We start from the raw sequence: 23,561 nt of genomic DNA, 5'->3' as shown, positions 1-23,561 counted from the left end.
GTTGGGTAAACAAGGCACACAGTGGAAAAGTTAAATGACATCTTTCCAAATGCCAAGTGAAAGAAGGGCGTAGTCAATGAATACTTGAAGATATAAAGAGGAGAGAGCCAGCTCCATCAGCTTTTGTAACCAGGGCATGCTTTAGAGGGCCAGGGAGCCGACATAAAGGGGTCATCTCCCAAAACTTACAATTTTGTAAAACAAGGTGAAAAATTGGAATTTTATTTGAAATTTCCTGATTTTTAAATGTTGGTGAGTAATTCAAATTTTCAGTAACTTGGAGCTGGGCATGGTGCCACACCTCTGTAGTCCCAGCTACTCAGGAGGCTAAGGCAGGAGGATCACTTGAGCCCAGGAGCTTGAAACCCCCATTTCTGAAAAAATTTTTTAAAAATATCCAGGTGTAGTGGTATGTGCCTATAGTCCCAGCTACTCAGGAGGCTGATGTGGGAGGATCCCTTGAGCCCATGAGTGGGAGGCTGCAGTGAGCTATGATTGTGCCACTGCACTCCAGCCTGGGCAACAGAGCAAGACCCTGTCACTAAAAGAATAATAATAACAAAAAACTCCAGCATGATTCCCACTATGTAGACAAGATAAAACTTGTTTGGAGGCTGAATTGAGACTGTGGGTGTACAATTGGTGGATGGATTACTGTATGGGGGAAGAAATGGGATGCAGAGAATGTTAGGATTCCTTCCAATTAGAAGGTTCTAAGGTTCTAATTTTACACCCGGGTATGAGGCAGTGACGGCCTGGGTATGGAAGGGGGCAGTGAGCATGGGGAGAAGGGACAGATGAGAGAGAGATTAAAGAAGATTAATAATAAAACCCTATGGCCAGGCGCGGTGGCTCACACCTGTAATTGCAGCACTTTGGGAGGCCAAGGCAGGCGGATCACTTGAGGTCAGGAGTTCCAGACCAGCCTGGCCAACATGGTGAAACCCCGTCTCTACTAAAAATACCAAAATTAGCCAGGCGTGGTGGCAGGTTCCTGTAATCCCAGCTACTCGGGAGGCTGAGGCAGGAGAATCACTTGAACCCGGGAGGAGGAGCTTGCAGTGAGCCGAGATTGCGCCACTGCACTCCAGCCTGGGCGACAGAGCGAGACTCTGTCTCAAAATAATAATAATAATAATAATAATAATAACAACACCCCCCATTTCTGTATTCGATTATGGTCTACAGAGTTTGTCATTGGAACTGGGATAGAGTAGAGCCTCAGAGGTTAGGCTCAGAAGTCAAACTGCCTTCGTTCAAATCTCAGGTCTACAAGCAATGATCTGTGAGGCCTTGAACAAGTTTCTAAACCTCACCCATCCTGTTTCTCAAGCACTAACAAGGAATGATGTTAATGATATCACCTACCTCTTCAGGGTCGAGGAGTCCTTCTCATGGCATAACTCTGACCCACTCTTCTGCCTGCCTCTTCCACTTTTAAGAACTCATGGACTAGATTGGGCCCACCCAGGTAATCCAGGATAATCGATCCATCTCAGGATCCTCAGTGTTCATCACATTTGCAAAGTTGTTGGCTGATTAAATAATAAAGTATGTTTGAAGTCCTTCATGTGGTAAGCCTGGATCACAGGAAGCGTGGATCAGTTTTTGCTATTCCTGTTATGCCATGTACATTCTCTCTTTGAGAATCCTTGCAACAGCCCCATGCTACAATGAGAAGACTGCCCAGGATGCAATGACTGGATATGGAGGTGGGAGTTGGGGATGGGGAGGAGTCAGGAGCAATGGCCAGAGAGTTAGCATCTTGGTTTGTAGACTCGACTCTATTGTTAAAAGTAACTCTTTGTTTCTGGGCTCTTCACTTGACCCCTGTAGGATTTTCTCTCTTGAAGGGCGGTTCCTTGCAACTCATTCTCCATAATTTAGGAAACTGGGTTTCTGAGTATGGTGGAAAGACTGATGGCTCCCCAAAAATGTCCACATCCTAAAATCCCTGGAACCTGTAAATATGTTACCTTACATAGCAAAGGGAACTTTGCAGGTGTGATTAAAATGAAAGACCATGAGATTATCGTGGACTACTTGGGTGGGCCTAATAGCTCTTAAAAGTGAAGAGGAGTCAGAGTGATGCCACCTGAGAAAGACCTGGCCCTGTCCCATCATGGCTGACTTTGAAGATAGAGGAATGGGGCATGAGCCAAGAAATGTGGGGGGCTTCTAGACTCTGGGAATTGAAGGAATGGCCCTCAATGTATTGCTAGCAAGAAAATGAGGACCTTGGTCCTACAACCACAAGGATCTGAATTCTGCTTATCCTGAATAAGCAGGAAATGGATTCTCCCCTAGAGTTTCCAGAAAAGAATGTGGCCTAGCATCATCAGCATTGATTTTAATCTGGTGAGACTCCTACTGGACGTCTGACATGCAGAACTCTAAGATAACAATTTTGTGTTTGAAGCCAGTAAGTTAATGGTACAGCAGCAACAGCAAACCAGTACTGAAGTTTTCAACTTAAATGTTTGGCGGGTGTTACTGGCAATACTTTTGAGTTCAGGAACTGATCAAGGGTGGAAATGATGTGGGGTGATGAGGGATGAGTTCTTGGATATACTGAGTTGGAGAAGCAATGACAGCAAGACATTCACATGGCAGTGCTCGAACCACACTTGGCCATGTGGGATTAGAGTTTAGAAGGTAGTGGCAATAACTGAAAAAAAAAAAATGCCTGGGAGGGGATGTAGGGAAAGAGACTCCATTGATGGGGCCAGTTTCTTGAGTTTCCAGTTCGTCTGGCTCCATTTGGCTTCTATTCTAAGCCAAACTCCTGCTCATCCTAATTGGAATATATGGACTTTGTTTTAAAAAAATCACTAGGGAGTCATACTGAGTAAATTTTATAGACACGGCACCATAATTTTATTTATTGACTTAAATTGAGACTTCCATAAATGAATAATGCTTGAAAATTGGCTCTTTGTAGGTTCCAAAGGAAAATCTGAAAATTTTAAATGTTTTTCCTTTCTTTGTTTATGAATCTTTTTAACAATGGAAATGTTTTGTCTCCTAAGAGTGGCATGGAGCTCAAATATATGACTCACTGGATATGACGACCACCTCTTTAAGTTGTAACAAATGGGAAGTGAGTTAGGAGAGGGCCCAAGAGAAACATAAGCTGATCCTCAGAAAAGTGTAAGTCCTGTGGGGATACCTCTAGGTTGGACCAGGAGTGAGGTGGAGCATCATAATGAGAGACAGAAAAAGTGAATAAATGTTAGTGACTGAGCAGCTGGGTTCCTAAAGGAAAAAGAAATGCCAAAAGAAAAAAGCAGAGAAGAATCATTTAAAAATCTCTAGCTTTAATTTACTAGATTCCCTCCCTTCATCAAAGTAGACCGCTGTCTTTCCTGTCAGGAGTTACTGAGAGCCCTGTACATTTCATGATGAAAGAGACCAGCCCTGGGCTGGTCCAACCCCTCATCTACTTTTTTTTTTTGAAACAGAGTTTGGCTCCGTCGCCCAGGCTGGAGTGCAGTGGTGTGATCTCAGCTCACTGCAACCTCCGCCTCCTGGGTTCAAGCAGTTCTCATGCCTCCGCCTCCCAAGTAGCTGGGATTGCAGATGTGCACCACCACGCCTGGCTAATTTTTATATTTTTAGTAGAGACGGGGTTTCGCCATGTTGGCCAGGCTGGTCTCGAACTCCTGGCCTCAAGTGATCCTCCCACCTCGGCCTCCTAAAATGCTGGGATTATAGATGTGAGCCACTGCGCCCAGCCTTATCTACATTTTGATCAAGTTTCAGCTCTTGATTATAAGCCCACGCCTATCAAACTCAGGGATGGAGGACCAGTTTTGTGAGTTTCCCAGAAAACTTCCTTCTCTGCTCTGGCTCTTCTCTTACCCTTGACTTGTCCATTTTTTTCTAATAAGTAAGAAAGAGGTGAAACTCAAATCAGCCCCCTGTGTGTACACAGCTGTGGTCAACAGATTTGGCAGTGGAGAAGGTTGGAACTATGGCCATCCACCGGGCAAAATTGTCAGTGAAGCAATGTTAGCCTCTGTTGCCCCTCGACGTCACTCTCCATCCCTCTTCTCTGGTACCTAACTCTTCCCAGGTGCCTTCATCCTGCTCCCCGCCTTTGCCAGGTGCCTGCCCTTCTTCACTTTACCTGCCCACACTGACAGGTGTCATTCTGAGGGTAGTCCATATTGAATGTTGATTTTACCCAGGGCTTTCCCACGTTGCCCAGTGTGGTAGCTCTTTGCTAGATGATCAGATGAATTCACCCAATTCAAATGAACTCATACTAAGATGTGAATGACTGATGACCCCTTCAGTGTTCCCAAAGGTATTTTTTCAATTAACCCTTTCAGGCTGGGCATGGTGGCTCACACCTGTAATCCCAGCACTTTGGGAGGCCGAGGTGAGTGCTTGAGCCTCAGGAGTTCAAGACCAGCCCTGGCAACATAGTGAGACCCCCATCTCCACAAAAAATAAAATAAAAAAATTAGCCAGGTGTGGTGGTGCGTACCTATGGTCCCAGCTATTCAAGAGGCTGAGGTGGGAGGATCACTTGAGCCTGGGATGTCTGAGGCTGCAGTGAGCCACAACCGCACCACTGCACTCCAGCCTGGGCAACAGAGTGAGACCCTGTCTCAAAAACAAAATTAACCCTTTAAAAGCTAACTCAACAGATTAGTGGAATATTAAAGTAGCATGAGAGATACAGAAGAACAGAGACTAAGGAAGAAGTAACTGCAATTAAATTAGGGCACCAAAGCACCTAGCCACTTGCCTACATTTGCCTTGTTGGCTGCAGGGTTATTGGGGAACTTGGGCACTCATTCAGTCCTGCTTTCGAGCCGAACTATGATTTTAATTATCCCAGAAAACAATCAGTACCCTACCATCATTTCAAGAAAATAGGCTCCTGGAGGCTACCAGGTATGTTTCACTGTGCAATGTTAGTTTGCAAACATACTTATTCTTTCCTATTAATTGTATCTCAAGATAACATTGTAAAAATATCCCTTTGTAATTAATTTTTTTAATGTATAAGATAACACCCCATGTGGGTCAGTATTTGGGGATGTAACACTTCTAAAGGGTAGTATAAATTGGTCCAAGTTTTCTCTAGGGCATTTTGCAAACAACATTTATGGAATTTCTGAAAGAAATAGCCACATATGTATGTAAAAATTTAGCCCAAAGGATTTATTGCAGCATTGTTTGTAATCATGAAAAATCATACACACCAAAATGCCCATTAAGAGGAAATTTGTTATATAGATAAATAGTACATACAACAATTGAAGTGCTATTCAGCCATCATAGATGGTGTTGTGGAAAATTGTTTGATGATATAGAATGACGTTCATGATATATTGTCATGAGAAAAATCAAGTTATAAATATTTTTGTGTGATATAATCCTTATACATACATATATATACATATAAACATATATGCATGTATCTGTATATATGTAAATATATACACATATAAACACATGCATATATCTATATATGTAAATATATATACACACATAGAGAAATAATATATACTAACATGTTAATGTCATTTTTCTCTGAGTGGTGAAATTATAGATGGTTTTTATTTTCTTCTTCTTGCTTATCTGTAATTTCTCGTTTCTCCAATATGTATGTATTATTTTCATAGATAGAAATATAGAATTACTTTTCTTTTAAGAGATCTGAGCATTTTCCCCAAATAAATAACTCAGCAGCTCTTGTAGTTTATAAACCCAGAGGTGTCTGATCTAGCTTAACTCATAAGAAAGAAATGGCTTAATAGATATAACGTCTGTGCTCAAAAGCAGCACAGTTAATGGAAGTTTAATTTATGCAAACATACACGTTAAAAAGTATTGATTAGGCTGTTGAAAATAATAGTAAATTAACATACTGCCCTCTTTTGGTAGCTATTTGTAATTCAGCTTACGTTCACTTCCATTAAAGATGTTAATCTCCTACAAATGTGTGCATAAATTAAACTAATTTTATCTTATTTTTTAAAATAAATTTTATTGTGCACATTTGAGGTTTATAACATGATGGGATGGAGTACATATGGATAGTGAAATTGTTACAGTAGTGAGGCTGATAAACATTCACATACTTTTTTTTAGTGACATGAGTAGCTGAAACCTACTTATTTGACAAAAAATCCTTAATATAGTACAATTTTATTGATTTTAGTCCTCATGAAACTAATTCTGAATCACCTCTTTTCCTCAACAGAAGATACTGATAATTCCAGTTTGTCACCACCACCTGGTAAGTTGTTTTTTTAGAACTCTGGGGAATTTCAGGAAAATATTATTCTGTAAGTTCTCTATGAAACATGGCATGTAGTCAGGTACAACAAAATTGTTTTCCTCCAAGAAGCTTAATTAGGTCATTAAGCCTACACCTGAAAAATCAATGCAAGCATAGACCAGAGGACAGTCATATTGATCCGTCCATATTGCGGGACAAAGCCAGGCAACAAATCACAGGGGACTAAATTGTTAGTTTTCATTACAGTAATTACTTAAGTTCAGCAGTTATTTTTAGTATTCTAGTTCACAAGTCTCTTGAAGAGTATCAGGAACATAAACATGCCAGATGTTTTTACATTTAAGGGAGGAGATGAGATGAGATGTTCACTTAAATATACACCCTCAGTACCTCCACTGAAAGGATATTTTTCACTAGGATTCTAAGGGCCCAGCACTCACCAGAATGGGAAGGCAAATACATTAGAACCCAGATTGGCAAGTGCCTGGAACAGAACCTGAATTCGAGACTGCTAGCTGGAATGGGACCTTAGGGATAAAGTGACCCAGCCCTGTCCATTAGTTGATGAGATAATGAAGCCTGGAGTGGCTGAGGAACTTCTCTAAGATCACACAGCTCCTTGCTCCACATCACACAGAGGCAGCACATGGCTTCTCTGACTCCTACTTCTGTATTCTTTTGGGTACACCATCTATTCCAGAACAATCTTTTATGATGGGGAGTGAGTCAACTCACATTCTTTCTGTAGTTGTGTGCAAATGAGCTTCTACTGTTATTGATTCATTATTTAAATCCAATTAATCACAATAGCTATACTTCTCATGCACTACTATGTATCTGGAAGCCTTCAGACATCTCCTCGTTCTCCTCTCAGTCTTGCAGCATAGGAAATATTCGTGTTATAGATGAGGAAACTGGGGCTTGGGGAGGATAAAACATGCTCGTGTTCACACATTCTCTGGAGCCAGATGACTTGAGTTGTAATTTGGCCACCACCTTCCTGCCTTCATTCCTAGCTGTGTGGTTTTGGGCTAGTTCCTTTAACCTTTCCATGCCTCAGTTTCCTCTCCTGTAAATTAGGGAGAATAATAGTAGCTGTTGTCGGGTAGTTGTGAAGACGGAATGAGATAACATATGTGCCAGGCACAGTGTAAACCCTTGGTAAGTGGTAACTATTATTTTTACGAGTTTTTGAGTAATGGGGCAAAGATTCAAACCCAGGACTGCAGGCCTCCAAAGTCCAAGCTCTTTTGATCTCGCCAATTTGCCCCCTAGTTGTTAAGCTTCTAGGGCACAATGAACCACTATATTTTTCTTCCAATAGAATAGTCCTTAGCAAACTGAATCATGGTGATATCTGCAAAACCTTGTTTGCATAGAATAGGGAATGGGACTCTGGGGGGACACACTGGGTCTAGTCACAGCCTGGCTTCTGGGTGCCCTGGGGGAGAGCAGTGCAAACTGGAAGGTAAGAGCCAGTGTAGCATCAAGGGATGGATGGGCAGCCATGCCCAGAGGTCTCTTCTTTGCACAGTGTCACCATTCATCAACATTCGGAAGAATTAATAGTCATTCCTTAAAAACTAGTTGTGGCCAATTATTTTGTTCTGCCCCAAGAGCAAAAAGGATTCTATATCTACACTTTGAATCTTATTGCTCAGGAACTGTCTTACTTCTCAAGAAATATCCTTGGTAATTTAAGAAATAAATAAATGTAGTAAATGACAAAATATGGAAACAATAATGTGGACAGACAGGGTGTGTGTGTTTCAGCCAACACAAGAGCAGTCTAAAGCAGGCCAGCCAAAGTGCCTTGACACACCCAACTTTGGTCCATACCAGCTGAAAATCAGGCTCCATACTGCAAAACTTATTTTAGTTATAAAATGTTGGTGTTTGCTTTTCCCATGTTTAGGTAGAGGTCAAGCCATTGAATCTTTTAAATATTTAAATATGCAAAATGTGTGTAGTAGATTGACTTCTTAGCTTAAGTGGAGTCATTCCACAGGAAATTTATCACTTGATTAATTGCCTTAATAGCAGCCATATTTTAAAATAACTTACCAGGAAATCTGGTTAGGTAGTACAGTATTGAGTGGTAGCAATTTTTTTAATCCTAAATTTACTGTGGGAAGATTTGCTAGGCATCACTGTAACAGAATGGCACCAGCGTGCCAATATATTTCATGATTGTAATTCGGCAAGTTATTTAAAATGTTTTCTAGAATGCTCTGGCTGAAAAATTTTTAAAGTAGTATTTCTTGTATTTTGGTCTGGTTCCTAATCTTATTTCTATAATATTCCATAAGTAGTTAGCAAGCTTTGCAATCACGGGTCTCAGGTTCACTCATCTTGGGTTCTTTTCCTACAATTCTCTGATTAAATTTTATACTCACTGAGCGCTTATGGGACATGCAGATTTAACTACAACTTGGTCTGCTAGTGTGTTTTCTACTTCTTTTCGTAATTATATCTCAAAAGTTTTAATTCTTTAAAATTTGACAAATAATCGTTTCAAAATATTGATTTAATTTTTTTTTCTCCTGCAGCTAAATTATCTGTTGTCAGTTTTGCCCCCTCCTCCAATGGTACTCCAGGCAAGATTTTGAAAAAATTTAAACCTAGATTTAGTCCAATTTGTTAAAGTTTTGTTTTAATTATATCTTTGTATTGTTTTTCTCCTCGGGACAAAAAGAGGTTGAAACAACAAGCCTCAATGGTAAGAATTTTTCTGAAGCAAGTGAAAATTGATAACCCTTAATATGAATATAAGTATAATGAATGGTGTTGAAGGTTTCCATTTCTAAATTATTTCTGAATACGTCGAGTAGTTTCAAATAACCCAAAACAAAACTTGCCAACCCTGGAGAGTGACCTAAACTTTCTGGTTAAATGATAACATTCTTACAGTCATGGAGGGAAGAGAGCAGTCCACCACTCTAATTGTTAGCTAAAAATAAAAGAAATATCGATCACATTTTGAATTATCCATTCCCTTGCTGTCCAACACAATGCCAACAAGTTTTACATGACAGATTGTTTAAATGTGAAAAGCACATCCAGTTATTCAATATGATTCAGCATGGATTTGGAGGCACAGTGTGTTCAAAGACAGCCTTTTTACAGATGATTTGATCAATTTTTAAATAGTATGAAATGGGAAAAAAATGGCTTCCCTATCATGCTAGAGAAAAGGGCAAAGAAGTGGGCTTTATTCAAGGGAAGGGGGCAGAGCAGTACATTCTGTTCCCTCCAATAAGTGAACAGAATGGGTAGACAGCCTTCCTTCCATCTTATTGCGATGAAACCCCAACACTTTTCACAAGCCCTTGGTTAAAATCAAATCTCACCATATGGTTGGTGGCTAAGGAGCTAAACAATCATAGATGCAGCTTATACTGATCAAAACTGGTTTAAATTCATATTTGGCCCAATGGGAAGGGACAGATGTTATCATTTTTATGTGCAGTTACTTCTCACAGTGAAAATAATATCTTCAATTTAGCTTTGGTGCAGTTTTTGGATCCCATTTTGTGTGTGTGTGTGTGTGTGTGTGTGTGTGTGTGTGTTTTAAGTATGATGTAATAAATGCCTTTTGGTTTTTTCCTAAAATTTCATCCAGAATCATAAATTCTAGAATGATTTGGATTTAAAGAAATGCCAATAGAATCGATTTTAAATTGGATTTTAAATCAAACAGGATCCAAATGAGATTTTCTTAAAAGTTAGTCGAATATAATGGTCATTTACTCCAAATTTAAGCTAGAATTATTTTAAATTGCTTTATAAGAGTGTACCACTGGTAAAAATGTATTATGCATCCACAGGGCTATATATTAAAATCAGTATTAATGTTGGAAATGTCATATCCCTTAGGGACGTTCATTATAATAGAGAAAAAAGGGACAAAATATTAAACAACATAGATGAGTTTATTCAAATCTAATGGTTACGGGAGTGTTGCTAAGTGTTTAGACATGTAACTTGCATTTGAATCAATGAACATTTGCTCCGGAATTGTCTCCAGGGGTTGGAGAATGGAGTAGTGAGAGGATGGGTAGCAAAAACATTTAGTAGTGTCAGTTGGCTTTTGCAAAACTAACTTCTCCCAGATTTGGGGAAAAGGGAAATGTTTAAGGAACCTAGGAAGACACACATGTTTGTAAACCATGCCAGTAGTTATGCTAATTTTTATTATTTTATTTCAGATGTTACTTTAAGCTTACTCCCTTCAAACGAAACAGGTAATATCAAGTGATTTCTAAATGTAATAGCTTCTTCTGCAGCCTCTTGAGTGTCTTGCTTGTGCAGTCTACTGGGTTACTAAAGAGTTTTCTTTTGCCTCCTTGCCCTTTTTCCTGTGCCTTCAACCATTGATTTATGACCCCTTTGACTTTGACATTGAACTATAATTCTGTCACCACACTCCCAAACTTCCAAAGGATGGCCATAGCACTCCATTTAAAATAGCATGTATTATTTTTGTGATTATAATAGTGATACATATTAGCTCATAAAGATGGAGAATATAGAGAAATGCAAAGAAGAAAATACAAATCATCTTTAATGTTACTTTCCTAAGACTATGACTGTTAACAATTTGGTCTATTTCCATTCAGTATCATTTATACATATATTTATATACATATACTCTTATATCCTTTGCAAAATAGTCATAATTTACATAGATTTTTGTATCTTGCCCATTTGACTTAATATTACGTTAGAAGTATATTCCAGTGTCCCTTACTATTATGACTTGATAATATTCCATTTTGTACCATATGTTGAACTTTAAAGTTGTTTCTATCTTTTTAATAGAAGTTATTGCAATGAACATTCTGGTGCCAACATCTTTGCATTCATTTCTTATTTCTGTAAGATACATTCTAAGGATTGCAGTATGCAAGGATTGCATTCTAAGGGTCAGCAGTATGAATATTGTAAGACTCTTGATACTACTGCTTGGTTACCTTCTAGAAAGGTCGTGCCTAGCGACATTCCTGTCCGCAGTGGATGAGAATGTCTGTCACTGTACCTTTGCTGAGACTGTATCATATCTTATTAAATCTTTCTCTCAACGCTTAGGTTTTATTTTTCATTCATGATTACTAGTGAAGTTAAACATTTTTACCCCAGAGCACTTTAGTTACCAAAACCAGAAGTTCATTTCACAGTTGTATTTTGTTTGCTCTGAAAAGGAAACTATCAGGGCAAACAAAATAATATATTTAAAAGATTTTTTTTTTTTTGAGACGGAGTCTCTCTCTGTCATCCAGGCTGGAGTGCAGTGGCGCCTTCTTGGCTCACTGCAAGCTCCGCCTCCCGGGTTCACGCCATTCTCCTGCCTTAGCCTCCCGAGTAGCTGGGACTACAGGTGCCCGCCACCACGCCTGGCTAATTTTTTGTATTTTTAGTAGAGATGGGGTTTCACTGTGTTAGCCAGGATAGTCTCGATCTCCTGACCTTGTGATCCGCCCGCCTCAGCCTCCCAAAGTGCTGGGATTACAGGCGTGAGCCACGGCACCCGGACCTAAAAGATTCTTAATGACAATGTGAAATGCTATCAGCCTTCATAATTACCACCCATCATTGGCTCATGGGTCACACATTGAAACCTGACAGTTTCAGAAACCTCATTTGTGTGTCTTTGTTACTGATGAGTTTCTGCCAGGATAACATCATCATTCTTAAGTGTGTTTCCAATCTCTGAGCTTGGCCTTTTCTTCAGAATTTGCCCATCCACCCTAGGTGACAGAGCTTCGGTGAAAATCTATGCCCTGAACACAGCCTCTTTCCATTGGCCATTTTTACAGCAAAGATTTCTGTACCTGCTTCTCCGTTACCTGGGGAATGAACCATGGGCTCTGTCCCCAAAACGTGTTTGGAAGACATTTCTAAAGTTTGCTTCTTCAGGGCATGTTAATATTTGCCTGTGAGTCACTCACTTTGAACAGTCTTGGTTCTGCTGTGGGCGTGTTATGTGATTGTGTATAGGTGGATGATCTCGACCTCTCTGAGAATAGCATTCTCTATCAGTACAATGGGGATAGTATTATGTTAACTCCTAAAGAAGATAGCGAGACACTTGATTGTATAATAGCAATACTTTACATCCCATGTGTACTGTTTCACATTAATTTTTATTCTGAATTACCTGTTTTTACAACCTATCACCTGAAGGTCCCGATAGTGGCTTAATTCTACATATCTGAAGTGTAAGTCCACATCATTTGTCTAGCAGCAGTGTGTGGAAAGTAAAGTAGAATTACACAGGCAGTGGGGTGTGTAATGGGTGTGATCTAACTGCGTAAACATGGAACTCCAACTCCCAGACTCACCCTGTGCCAATGCTACATGATCCGTGGATGCGGTTCCTATTCATTCTGCTGCTGAGATGACCGATAGTGTCTTAAAGGTGTCAACAGTGTGACTTTTTTTTTAGCACTTCACTAAAATGATACTCATGGCAAATTGTTTTTAAAAAACAAGCAATGATTATTCTCTAATATTTAAGTTGTTTCTTTGCAGAAAAAACTAAAATCACTATAGTAAAAACCTTCAATGCATCAGGTATGACTTATTATCAATATCAAGACTTTCCTTTTTATAACTAAAGTAAAATTAAACAAATGGCTGGTGTTTATAATTTCTTTCTCTTTTTTCCAAACTTTTCAAGATAAAATCTGGTCTTAACAAACAGATGTGTATGCACTGGGTACCTGAAATTGTACTAGGTGTTTGGGGCTATATAATAATGATCAGACACAGAGCCTACCCTCAAGAATCTTCTAGTCTATGGGTGGAGACAAGGCAAAAAAATAGATAACTAACATGAACATGCATGCAGATAAAGGCAATGATTATACAAGTATTACTGACATGGTTAAGAGGCATAGGAGTAGAGGGGGATGCAATTAATGAAGAAGTTAGAGGAATGAACCTCAAATTTTTTTTTCCTGAGACAAGATCTCACTCAGTGGCCCAGGCTACAGTGCAGTGATGCAATCATAGCTCACTGCAGCCTCAACCTCCTTGGCTCAGGTGATCCTCCCACCTCAGCCTCCTGAGTAGCTGGGACTGCAGGCTTGTGCCATCAAGCACGGCTAATTTTTGTATTTTTTGTAGAGACAGGATTTCGCCACGTTGCCCAGGCTGGTCTCAAACTCCTGGGCTCAAGTGATCTGCCTGCCTCGGCCTCCCAGAGTGCTAGGATTACAGGCCTGAGCCACTGCACCTGGCCAAATTCTTTTTAAATCAAAGAAAATGTGTACTTTTAAGTTTCTGATACAAGACTACACACACAAGACATGCTTGACAAAGGCTTGATTTCAAGTAGCGGTTGGCAAACTATCACCAATGGGCCAAATCGGGCTCACTGCCTGTTTTTGTGAATAAAGTTTTATTGGAACACTACCATGCCCCTTTGCTTACATATTCTCTATAGCTATTTTTCTGCTGCGTAAAACACGAGTGGTTGCAACAGAGACCATATGACCCACAAAGCTTAAATATTTACTATCTGACCCTTTAGAAAGTTTTCTCACTCATGATTTAAGGAATGACCTGTGGCCATGTACATAGAGGAGATTACAGATGAGAATGCTAGCAGTAGGAAAAACAAAATTCTCAGTATGAATGAACAGCAAGAAGACACGCATCACTGGAAACGGAGCTGCAGCTAAAATTTAGAAAAAGATGAGATGATCGAATGAAAAGTTTAGTAAGTAATACAGCAATGGTTTAAAGGACATTTACAGCATAACTACCCATTATAAAATCTATAAATTCTATATTTGCATAATATATATGTTATAGTGAGTTCTATCTATAAGCAAGTATATTTGCTTATAGACAGAAGAAGAAATGAAATATTTCTCTTTTGGTGTGGGTAACACTGCTTTGGAACAATATAAAAATCTACAGATCTGGTAATTTGGGGTACCTAAATTTAATTTGCTCACAAAATCAAAACTCATAGCTATAGGTGTCTTCGCTAAAGCATGATGCCTGTACATCAATAAATCACACTAGCAGAAAGCATATCACATGCACTAACTCAAATTATAATTTTAGTTTGTACCCAAACTAGTTTTCTCATAGAAAAGAATTTAAGGATTTGTAATGTGCAATGGAAATAAACTTGCAGTTGGGCATTGCACACATAATTCTGACCAAACAAGACCTAACAAGGAGACAAAAATATTTCTTAATATAACAAGTTTTTCCCTTGGCAGTTTGTTTAATACATTATCAGCATTTGCTCCTCCCATGTACTATGGATTTCTTATGCTTTGCCAAAAGGATGCAATTAATAAAGGAAGGCTTTTTAGAGAAGTAAACCTTGAGTTCTTTTCAAATTGAAGAAGAGATACACTTCTCCTCTCACCAAAGGAGAAAGTGTTTCTCAGGTTAATACGTATAAAGTTTTGGTTCTGATGCTCATTTTATCTCCCAGTCATCTCTGTCTCCTTTGTATGCCTGTGTGGTCTGTTGTCCTGGTCATCACTCCATTTTGCCCTCACTAATAAGTAAATTAAAAAATGCTTTTTATTTACTGGCTAGTATCATCCACTAGATTGTATGCTCCTTGAGGGCAGGATCTATATCTGGAAACTCCCAAAGCCTGTAGAATATGGTTAATGCTCAGCAAATATGTTTTGAATTTTGTAGTTTTTGCCCATGAAACAATATTATGACATTAATGTTATTTCATACATACATTTGCATAAAGAGCTAGGATTAACATTAGAGTGTTCATAGACTCCCCTACATAGGAAAAGAAGGAGGATCTATGATTAAGGGCCATTCCATTTAAAGTCTCTACTTGGTTTGTGTTCATGGTGCTCTGTTTATACTGAACAGGAGAGGGATTAATTGGGAAGGGGTCAAAAATTTTAGGGAGGAGTTAAGGATCAGATATTGACATACTAAAGATTAGTAAAGAATTAAGTTCCGTAGCTGACAAATGACCAACAAATGAAAACTCATTTCTTTAGTCTTTGTGGAATTCATCCATCCAATTAATTCCAGCTTATAATATTTCTGGTCCACATTTGATGCCTACGTTTATGAATTCTCTTGACAATGCAGCACATAAACACGGGCATTGACATGCTTAACCAGCTGGGTTGTGTTTTCTTTGCAGGCGTCAAACCCCAGAGAAATATCTGCAATTTGTCATCTATTTGCAATGACTCAGGTTAGTTCTTGTGTACATTACACATTACCAGATAAATTTCCTCCATAGAGATAAATGGTTCACTTTCTTTTCTTTTGAGTATGTGGTATGTGCCTCTTGGAGCTGCCTCTTTTCATGCCACCTGGCTACTAGGAGTCCCTAATAAAAACAAAAGCAAATTTTATATCTGGCTGAAATTATCTTCCCGTTGCCTAGTGAGAAGATGGATTAACTTCCTTAATATGAGACATAAAGCTCTACAATAAATATTTTTCATTATAGCTTTAAATCCATAACTAATACCCTTAGAATTAATTTGTGAACATAACTAATAAAGACATTAATAATTATTGAAAGTCACTTCTTATATAGAAATCTGTCAAGCTTTTCCATAGGGCCTTAAGTATTAGAGCTTAGAAACAGGATAACGTCTTGCTAAGAATAAAGCGGATCAGCCTGTTGAATGTTGAAAACTCAAGTACACCTAGTTTAAGTGGATGCTAATTCCAGTAGTGTCCATAGTGTATTTTGCCATTTCTAACTAAGACCATTTGCTATTTTTAAAAATTGAGATGGAAATCCCTTGAGAACATGCTATTTTTGAAATGGGAATATTTTCCCTTCTGCCATGGGCCAGACGGAATGAAACAACCACTTTTCTCACCTTGGTTTGGCTCTCTGGGCTCCCTTCCTTGTTAAAACCAATGAAAGCAAATGTGAAAAACAGAAAAATATTGTGTGGCAGATCAGAATTGGCCAGAGATCATGAGAAGCGAGAAGAGGAAGTTAACTAGGTATTTTATGTTCTGAAAGTCTTATTGTGATTATAGTAATAAGCAATCATTACAGGAATATTTTCTTTATTCCATTCCTTTTAACAGTTTAATAATTTGTTTGAAAAACATAGGTAACAATTTCAAGTAAAATAAGGTTGGATAAATTAGAAAACAAGAAAATGTCCTATTGAAAGAATGTTTCACAAACACTTTCTATTGTGTGAATATAAGATTTGCTCATTTTTCTGCTGATACTACGTTCCAGGTAGAATATAGGAGGAAAATATTAGCTGGTTTTGATTAAAGAAAGCAAAGTGTTGGATACATTTCATTTTCGTATATTGTATAACTCTCTTCTCTTTTCCTCCTCCTTCTCTCCCTCCTCTCTGACTCTTCCGTTCACCGAATTCCCCATAATGTCATTATTTTTGTGCTTCACTTATGTTTTGGGCTGGTGACTAATGTCTAGTTCAGTGTTGTGTCTACATGATGTTTGATAACTGTTTGAAAATTGAACATGTAGTTAAAAAAAAAAAAACTGGTCATCTTGAGTAACAGATGCCAGAAAGCTGGTTGGAGTAATGTTTTCCCCAATTAAGGGACTGAATTGACCGTTTGTTTTAGTGTCGGTGACAACAACCTCATCAGGGTTTTTGGCACCAGAAACCCCATGGTACCCTGCCAGAAACTAGAAACCTTCACTTCTTGCAGGTTCCAATCTGGGTTCATTAAGGAAAATGGAGGCTGGTGAAGAAAGTGGGAGCTGACCAAGAGTCAGGCTGATAGTCAAAAGGTGCTGGCTTCCTGGTTGCTCTGCTACCACTGTGCTCCCAGCACATTTATGAAACTCAATATTCATCAATAAGAATGTGAGGCAGAGACGTTGTGGGTGTTGGCATGCACGTACACACACAATTTAAATAATCATTTAAAAGCTAAGATTTTTAAAAATGGATAAGTCTATGTAGATCTCAAATATCTTTTAATAATTACATACTGTATGAATTGAAATTTCAGTATCGATATGTGGAAACTGAGGTTCTTAGTAGAAAAGTTGCTGAAATAGATCATGTCAAACACTGGTCTAGTGCCTTCTTGGCCATTTTTAAGCAGGAATAAGTTGTTGTACTTTGGGGTACAATAAAAGATGATGAGAAGAGGAGGCCTTCTAGCTCAGGGGTTGGCAAACTACCAGCCATAGTCCAAATATGGCCTGTTTTTGTAAATAAAGTTTTATTGGAACACAGCCCATGCCTGTTCATTTACGTATTGCCTATGGCTGCTTTCATGCTACAATGGCAGAGTTGGGTAGTTACAGCATAGATCATATGGCCTGCAAACCCTCAAATATTGACTACCTGCTCAATCACCAAAAACGTTGGCTGAGCCCTGGCTCTAGTTTATGTGATATCCTTGCCCCATTGCTCACAAGGCCAGTTTGCTCACGAGATCAAGCTTGTTCAACTGCGGCCCATGGGCCACATGCGGCGCAGGACAGCTTTGAATGTGGCCCAACACAAACTCATAAACTTTCATAAAACATTATGAGACTTATGCATGGCCTTTTTTTTTTTTAGCTCATCAGTTGTCGTTAGAGTATTTTATATGTGGCCCAAGACAATTCTTCTTTCAATGTGACTCAGGGAAGCCAAAAGAGTGGACACCCCTGCATATAGATTATGAAGTGCACACCACGTCTTTCTGTTTAGGAGTCTCTATTTTATTTGTTTCCAGATAGAGTCAAAGTCCCCAGGAATAAAATTTCTTAACAAGGGGACAAGTTTTCTCTTTCTGAATTCCCACATAAAATTTACAGTTCATATTTTCTGAAAATTATATTGATAATAGTTGAGTAACTTACTGACAAAGTAAATGTGAATAAAAACAATTTGATGAAACTTTATAATTTGATAATCTTTTTGTATGTGGTATTAATCCTCAAGCTATAAGGATACAAGTCTCAAATATCTTTTTGAAAATTTATTTTTAGCATTTTTTAGAGGTGAGATCATGTTTCAATATGATAAAGAAAGCACTGTTCCCCAGGTAAGTTTTAAAGATTTTTTTTACTGCAATCTTAAAAGGCAAATTCATTTATATTTAAACATTTGTTTGAGGTTCAGATTATTTATGATATTTGGTATATTTATTGTTATGACCAAATTTAAATGAAATATGTTAATTGAGTCCCTAGCTTTGTAGCGAGGGCTTGAATTCATAATAATCATGGTATTTTGTTAATAACTATATTTTAGTTTTCAATAGGCTTGCTGCTGAATAAGAATGTTAAGGTGATGCAATTCTACTGCCAGTTAAAATTTTAAATTATATTAGAAACTCCTAGCAACAAGAAATATGTGTATTGAATCTATGAATAATATTCTGAATGTGATTCTCTTTGCCCCATGGGGGATTCTGATGCAGTGGTATCAGCCTTCCCAAAACCTAGATTGGTTCAGAGGATGGCCAAATGTGGTTCATTCATTCGATGACTATTTCTGAGCACCTACTATGTGCCAGGCAATGAGCTCATTGCTAGAAATACAGCAATGGCTGCTATCAAGTTTTCCTTTTTACATTGGGGTCTGTTACTTAGATCCGGGACCTTTCGTGACAAGAATGTTAATAGTGTTCTTTGTGAGGAACTCGTGAAATAAAGAAAGACAGAAATCAGCACATCAGAGCTGCTGACTTAGAATATTTTTTAAAGAAAACATGAAACAAAAACAGGCTCAGCCAATATGGATTAACTTTTAAGAACCACTTTTTGCCCTCCCTTTTCTATAAAACTGCAGCTTGATCATTTAGATAGACAATGTTCCTTACAGTTAGGATTCAGTCTTTGGGGTATAGTTATTTGAGTGGCTGATAAAACTGAAGAACAACTTACTGTTAGAGAGTGAAAAAACAAAACAATGTTTGTTATATTCTTAATGATTTTATGCTTCTAACAGAATCAACATATAACGAATGGCACCTTAACTGGAGTCCTGTCTCTAAGTGAATTAAAGTGAGTAATCTGCCGTTTGATTTGAAACTGCAGACATCAACTATGGAAGGATACTTTTTGAGCCATGTTTGCAATTGAAAACTGAGAATGGGAAAGAGACCAGCCCAAAGGTTATAGAGCCAATTGGTTCTTGACTTCCTTGCAGATTAACCATAATCACATCAACTATTATCCCCATGAGGCTCTTTGATGCGCTGAAGTTATATAACAGCTTCATTTGAATTAGCATTTGAGTTTTAATATGATTTGATATCCAGCATGGTTGAAAGAGGAGTCCAAGGTGGGACTCCAAATATATGATTTGTTGATGCTTTCATGAAGCATCAGTGATTCATAAGTCAGAGAAAAGTCTTTGTTAAGTAGACCTGGGCTTAGAAGGACAAGCACAGACAATGAGAAATGCATTACAAACAGATGCCCCTTGGCCGGGTGCGGTGGCTAACCCCTGTAATCCCAGCACTTTTGGAGGCCGAGGCAGGTGGATCACCTGAAGGCAGGAGTTCAAGACTAGCCTGGCGAACATGGTGAAATCCCATCTCTACTAAAAATACAAAAATTAGCCGGGCGTGGTGGTGGGCGCCTGTAATCCCAGCTACTCGGGAGGCTGAGGCGGAAGAATTGCTTAAACCTGGGAGGCAGAAGTTGCAGTGAGCCAAGATTGCACCATTGCACTCCAGCCTGGGTGACAAGAGCGAAACTCTGTCTCAAAAAAAAAAAAAAAAAGTGCCCCCAGTTAAACAGTAAGTCAAAATGTCAGCCACCAGGATGGCCTAGGCCAGGAGATGATCTTACTGTGTCCGTCACCAAAAGGGTCAACTTCACGTTTATGCCCTCATAGCAGCCAGTGAAGCAGCATCAGAGACAAAATTCATCTACTCTCAACATTGCTACTGCCTCACAAATGAGATTGTTATAAACTTTTGAAGCAAATCTGCTGTAGTGTCTGTGATGACACTGAAAAGAAAAATCTTTCATTTAAAAACAAAACAAAACAAATCCCTCTTCTTATGGGTCATCTTTCAAATTAGCTTTTTGACCTGGCTACATCTAATGATTCAGCAATGCCTAGGCAGAGAGAAGCATTTGGCAGATAGCAAACATCCCTAGGGCCTACTCAGTTTGTAGTGGTTAAGAAGTTCAACTAGTAAGAACTGGGAGTGGGGTGGGGTGTTATTCATGTCCTTTATGCCTATTCTTTGACCTCCTGATGAAATCTAGCTTTTCTAACTATTCATTTATATATGTGAAATGTAAAGCAGAAAAGATCAATGCTCTGGAAGGATCTGAAACTTTAGCTGGGCAATAGAATAATTTTTTTTTTTTGAGATGGAGTCTCACTTTGTTGCCCAGGCTGGAATACAATGGTGCCATCTCGGCTCACTGCAACCTCCACCCTCCTGGGTTCAAGCAGTTCTCGTGCCTCAGCCTCCCGAGTAGCTGGGATTACAGGCATGTGCACCACACCTGGCTAATTTTTGTATTTTTAGTAGAGACGGGGTTTTGCCATGTTGGCCAGGCTGGTCTCAAACTCTTGACCTCAAGTGTTCTGCCCACCTCGGCCTCTCAAAGTGCTAGGATTATAGGCATGAACCACCGTGCCCAGCCAAAACTTTTTTTTTTAACTCACAAATTTACAATTAGAATACAACTTGGCATACTTGTAATTACTCTTAATTACTAGACTAGAAATAGAACTGAGTTCATTTAAGGTCACCAGGCATTTGTTGAACACCTACTTTGTGCTCGGCCTTGGGGATCCACAGGGATAAACCCAACTCTCTGAGATAGGAAACCAAGTCTAGAGCAATGTTTCTCATCCCTGGTTGCATATTAAAATCACCTGGGAGCTTTCAAAAATCCCAGTGCCCAGGCATGCTCCATAACAAATCAGTATTTAGGGGCTGAGACCCAGCATTGGCATGTTTCCAACATGAGGCTAATTGTGAGAACCAGGGCTCTAGAATCTGGTGGGGAAGACACAAGATGCAACAAATAACAATACAGTGCAACCCCTGCACTGAAGGTGGCTTGTATAGGGTACCAAAGGATGGATGTTCTAAGTCTCTGAATGTAGAGCAGCAGGAGCAATTAAACCGGACTGCAGCGGAGGGATAGGGGAACCCCCAGAAAGAAGGTGACCTGTAGGTGGGGCATGGTGGCTCATGACTATAATCCCAGCACTGTGGGAGGCCGAGGCAGGTGGATCTCTTGAGCCCAGGAGTTTGAGACCAGCCTGGGTAACATGGTGAGACGTGGTCTCTACAAAAAATTAGCCAGGCATGATGGTATGTGCCTATAGTCCCAGCTACTCAGGAGGCTGAGGCAGGAGGATCGCTTGAGCCCAGGAGGTGGTCTCTGAGCACAGTTACGGAGGAATGGCTCCTGCCAGCTTGAGGAGTTAGCAGCTATTGCCATGGTCCTTCCCTTCTTCCTTCCAGACCTTGCCTGATGCTACCATTCCTTGGAGCAGGTTTTCTCAACCTTGGCACTCTTGACTTCCAGCAGGCTGGATCATTCTTTGTTGTGGGGGTATCCCGTGCATTGTAAGGTGTTTAACAGCATCCCTGGCCTCTCTCTACCAGATGCCAGTAGCACCCTCCTCAGCGTAACAACCAAAAATGTCTCCAGACATGGCCAAATATCCCCTGGAGGGCAGACTCTCCCCTGTTTGAGAACTACCGCCTTAGAATGAATTCTTTAACTGGATTCCTCTCATCCCAACTTCATGTGAAGCTCTGCCACTTTGAAGAAATGAAAGCATGGTTGGAGTGGGATTGGAGGAGAGGAAAGAGAGAATTTCCTAAGGGGGAGTTGTGAGGAGGGGAAGGCAGCGTTGGAGAGGGCCAGAGAGGGCAGACCAGGTCAGTGGGAGACGGGATGAGGAAGAAATCAGAAGCACAAGGTCCCCAGGGTGAGTGGCCTGCCCCTCTCGAAAATTTTTGCCTGGGGCTAGCTCTCCCTCTGACCCTCTGCCAGAAGAAGCTGCCTGAGGCTGCAGTAGCCTAATGAATAACAAAATTGTCCAATCATAATTTATAACTCACTTTTGGCTAGAACTGACATAGCTCCTGTCTGGTTGGTTTCCCTTGTCATATAAATTATTTATTTTCTTGCCACATAGGACTCTCTTATTATACTCTCTATTTCTTCAAAGTGAACACCATAAGCAATGTATACCATGTGCTTGATTTAATTGCTAAAATCTAACATGTTTTCAATTTAATATCACTAATGGTCTCCTTAATGTCAATTTCTCTCATTTTATTACAGACGCTCAGAGCTCAACAAAACCCTGCAAACCCTAAGTGAGGTAATCATAGTGCACCCTGTAGCTTGTTTATAATTATTGTTATGACCTGGGGGAAAGCATAGGGTTCTGCATTCCTGGGAGATATGTATTCAAATTCTCCCAAATTTGTTGTGTAAGAGAATGAATGGACTAGTTTTTTTATTCCAAAAATCAGAACTAGAAGCAATGGGTAGACATTATAAGGAGGTAGATTTTCCTTCATGTAACACCAAGAGTTTCTTAAAATATAAACTCCAAGAAAATGAGCTTCCTTGTGTAATAGTGACCTCACAGAGATTGTATGGCCTGAAGAGCGTTGATGATATGCCGGGAATCTGGTAGGAATGTGAAGTGGACAATCCCTAAGGGCTCTCGTGATTCTAAAATTCTGTGATTAGCCTTAGGTCTTCTTTTCTGATATTTCCAACTGCCCAAAGTAACATATATGTGTATACGTGTTTTTTGTTTTGTTTCAGACTTACTTTATAATGTGTGCTACAGCAGAGGCCCAAAGGTCAGTCATTTTTAATACTTTCATAAATATAATTTCTCCATTTATGAGAAATAAAGTATTAAGGAGTCTTAGTTAAATTGCAAATGCAAAGGGGGTCCTCTAAAATAAATACATATTAATGACATTTTGGATTTAAATATTTTTATTTTTCTAAACACTGATCACTCTGTCATATCCATCTTCTCATTTCTTTACAAAGTACAGAGAAGTGTGTAGTATCGGGCCATTTACCTCCGGTTCCACAAGGCTAAGGGTCATCAGTGTCCTTAGCCCCGAGGGCCACCAATATAACCAGGAAATGGCTCCCAGTGGTCCAGGCAGGGTGAAGGCCAGAACAAAAAGAGGGAATGTAACATGGAGCTTGGGAAAAGAAGGAAAGAGGGGGAAGGAAAAGATTGGAAAGAAAGAGAAAAGAACATGGCTGGGTGTGGTGGCTCACGCCTGTAATCCCAACACTTTGGGAGGCTGAGGTGGGCAGATCACTTGAAGTCAGGGGTTGGATTCCAACCTGGCCAACATGGCAAAACCCCAT

The 23,561-nt window shown here is 39.5% G+C and overlaps 1 protein-coding gene and 1 long non-coding RNA gene across 19 annotated transcripts in view; one reads left to right on the top strand and one right to left on the bottom strand.

Annotated features, from left to right (window-relative positions):
- Positions 1 to 23,561, bottom strand: part of LOC101928415 (uncharacterized) — a 69,547-nt gene that overhangs the window by 10,689 nt on the left and 35,297 nt on the right. The window contains exon 1 of one of the 3 annotated variants that reach the window (XR_007068405.1): positions 1,369 to 4,382. The exons of the other annotated variants lie outside the window; for them this stretch is intronic. This is a non-coding gene — a long non-coding RNA (uncharacterized LOC101928415). Of the gene's footprint in view, positions 1 to 1,368; positions 4,383 to 23,561 lie in introns of those variants that run through there. 3 annotated transcript variants of the gene reach the window in all.
- The window catches only part of ADGRG2 (adhesion G protein-coupled receptor G2), a 133,650-nt gene that overhangs the window by 76,512 nt on the left and 33,577 nt on the right, over positions 1 to 23,561 (top strand). For 6 of the 16 annotated variants that reach the window (XM_006724455.3, NM_001184834.2, NM_001079858.3 and 3 more), the window contains 10 exons: positions 6,221 to 6,256; positions 8,809 to 8,856; positions 8,955 to 8,978; positions 10,468 to 10,503; positions 12,791 to 12,832; positions 15,408 to 15,461; positions 18,207 to 18,262; positions 19,171 to 19,226; positions 22,497 to 22,536; positions 22,992 to 23,029. In XM_006724455.3, coding sequence (XP_006724518.1) covers positions 6,221 to 6,256; positions 8,809 to 8,856; positions 8,955 to 8,978; positions 10,468 to 10,503; positions 12,791 to 12,832; positions 15,408 to 15,461; positions 18,207 to 18,262; positions 19,171 to 19,226; positions 22,497 to 22,536; positions 22,992 to 23,029 — 430 coding nt within the window. The remainder of the gene's footprint in view (positions 1 to 6,220; positions 6,257 to 8,808; positions 8,857 to 8,954; positions 8,979 to 10,467; positions 10,504 to 12,790; positions 12,833 to 15,407; positions 15,462 to 18,206; positions 18,263 to 19,170; positions 19,227 to 22,496; positions 22,537 to 22,991; positions 23,030 to 23,561) is intronic. The other 10 variants (XM_047441757.1, NM_005756.4, NM_001184836.2 and 7 more) reach the window with 7 other exon arrangements.

The sequence above is a fragment of the Homo sapiens genome, chromosome X, assembly GCF_000001405.40.
Source record: "Homo sapiens chromosome X, GRCh38.p14 Primary Assembly".
In the NCBI taxonomy this organism is placed as follows: Eukaryota; Metazoa; Chordata; class Mammalia; order Primates; family Hominidae; genus Homo; species Homo sapiens.
Note: the sequence above shows the minus strand (reverse complement) of the source record. Positions and strands in the feature narration are given on the sequence as shown.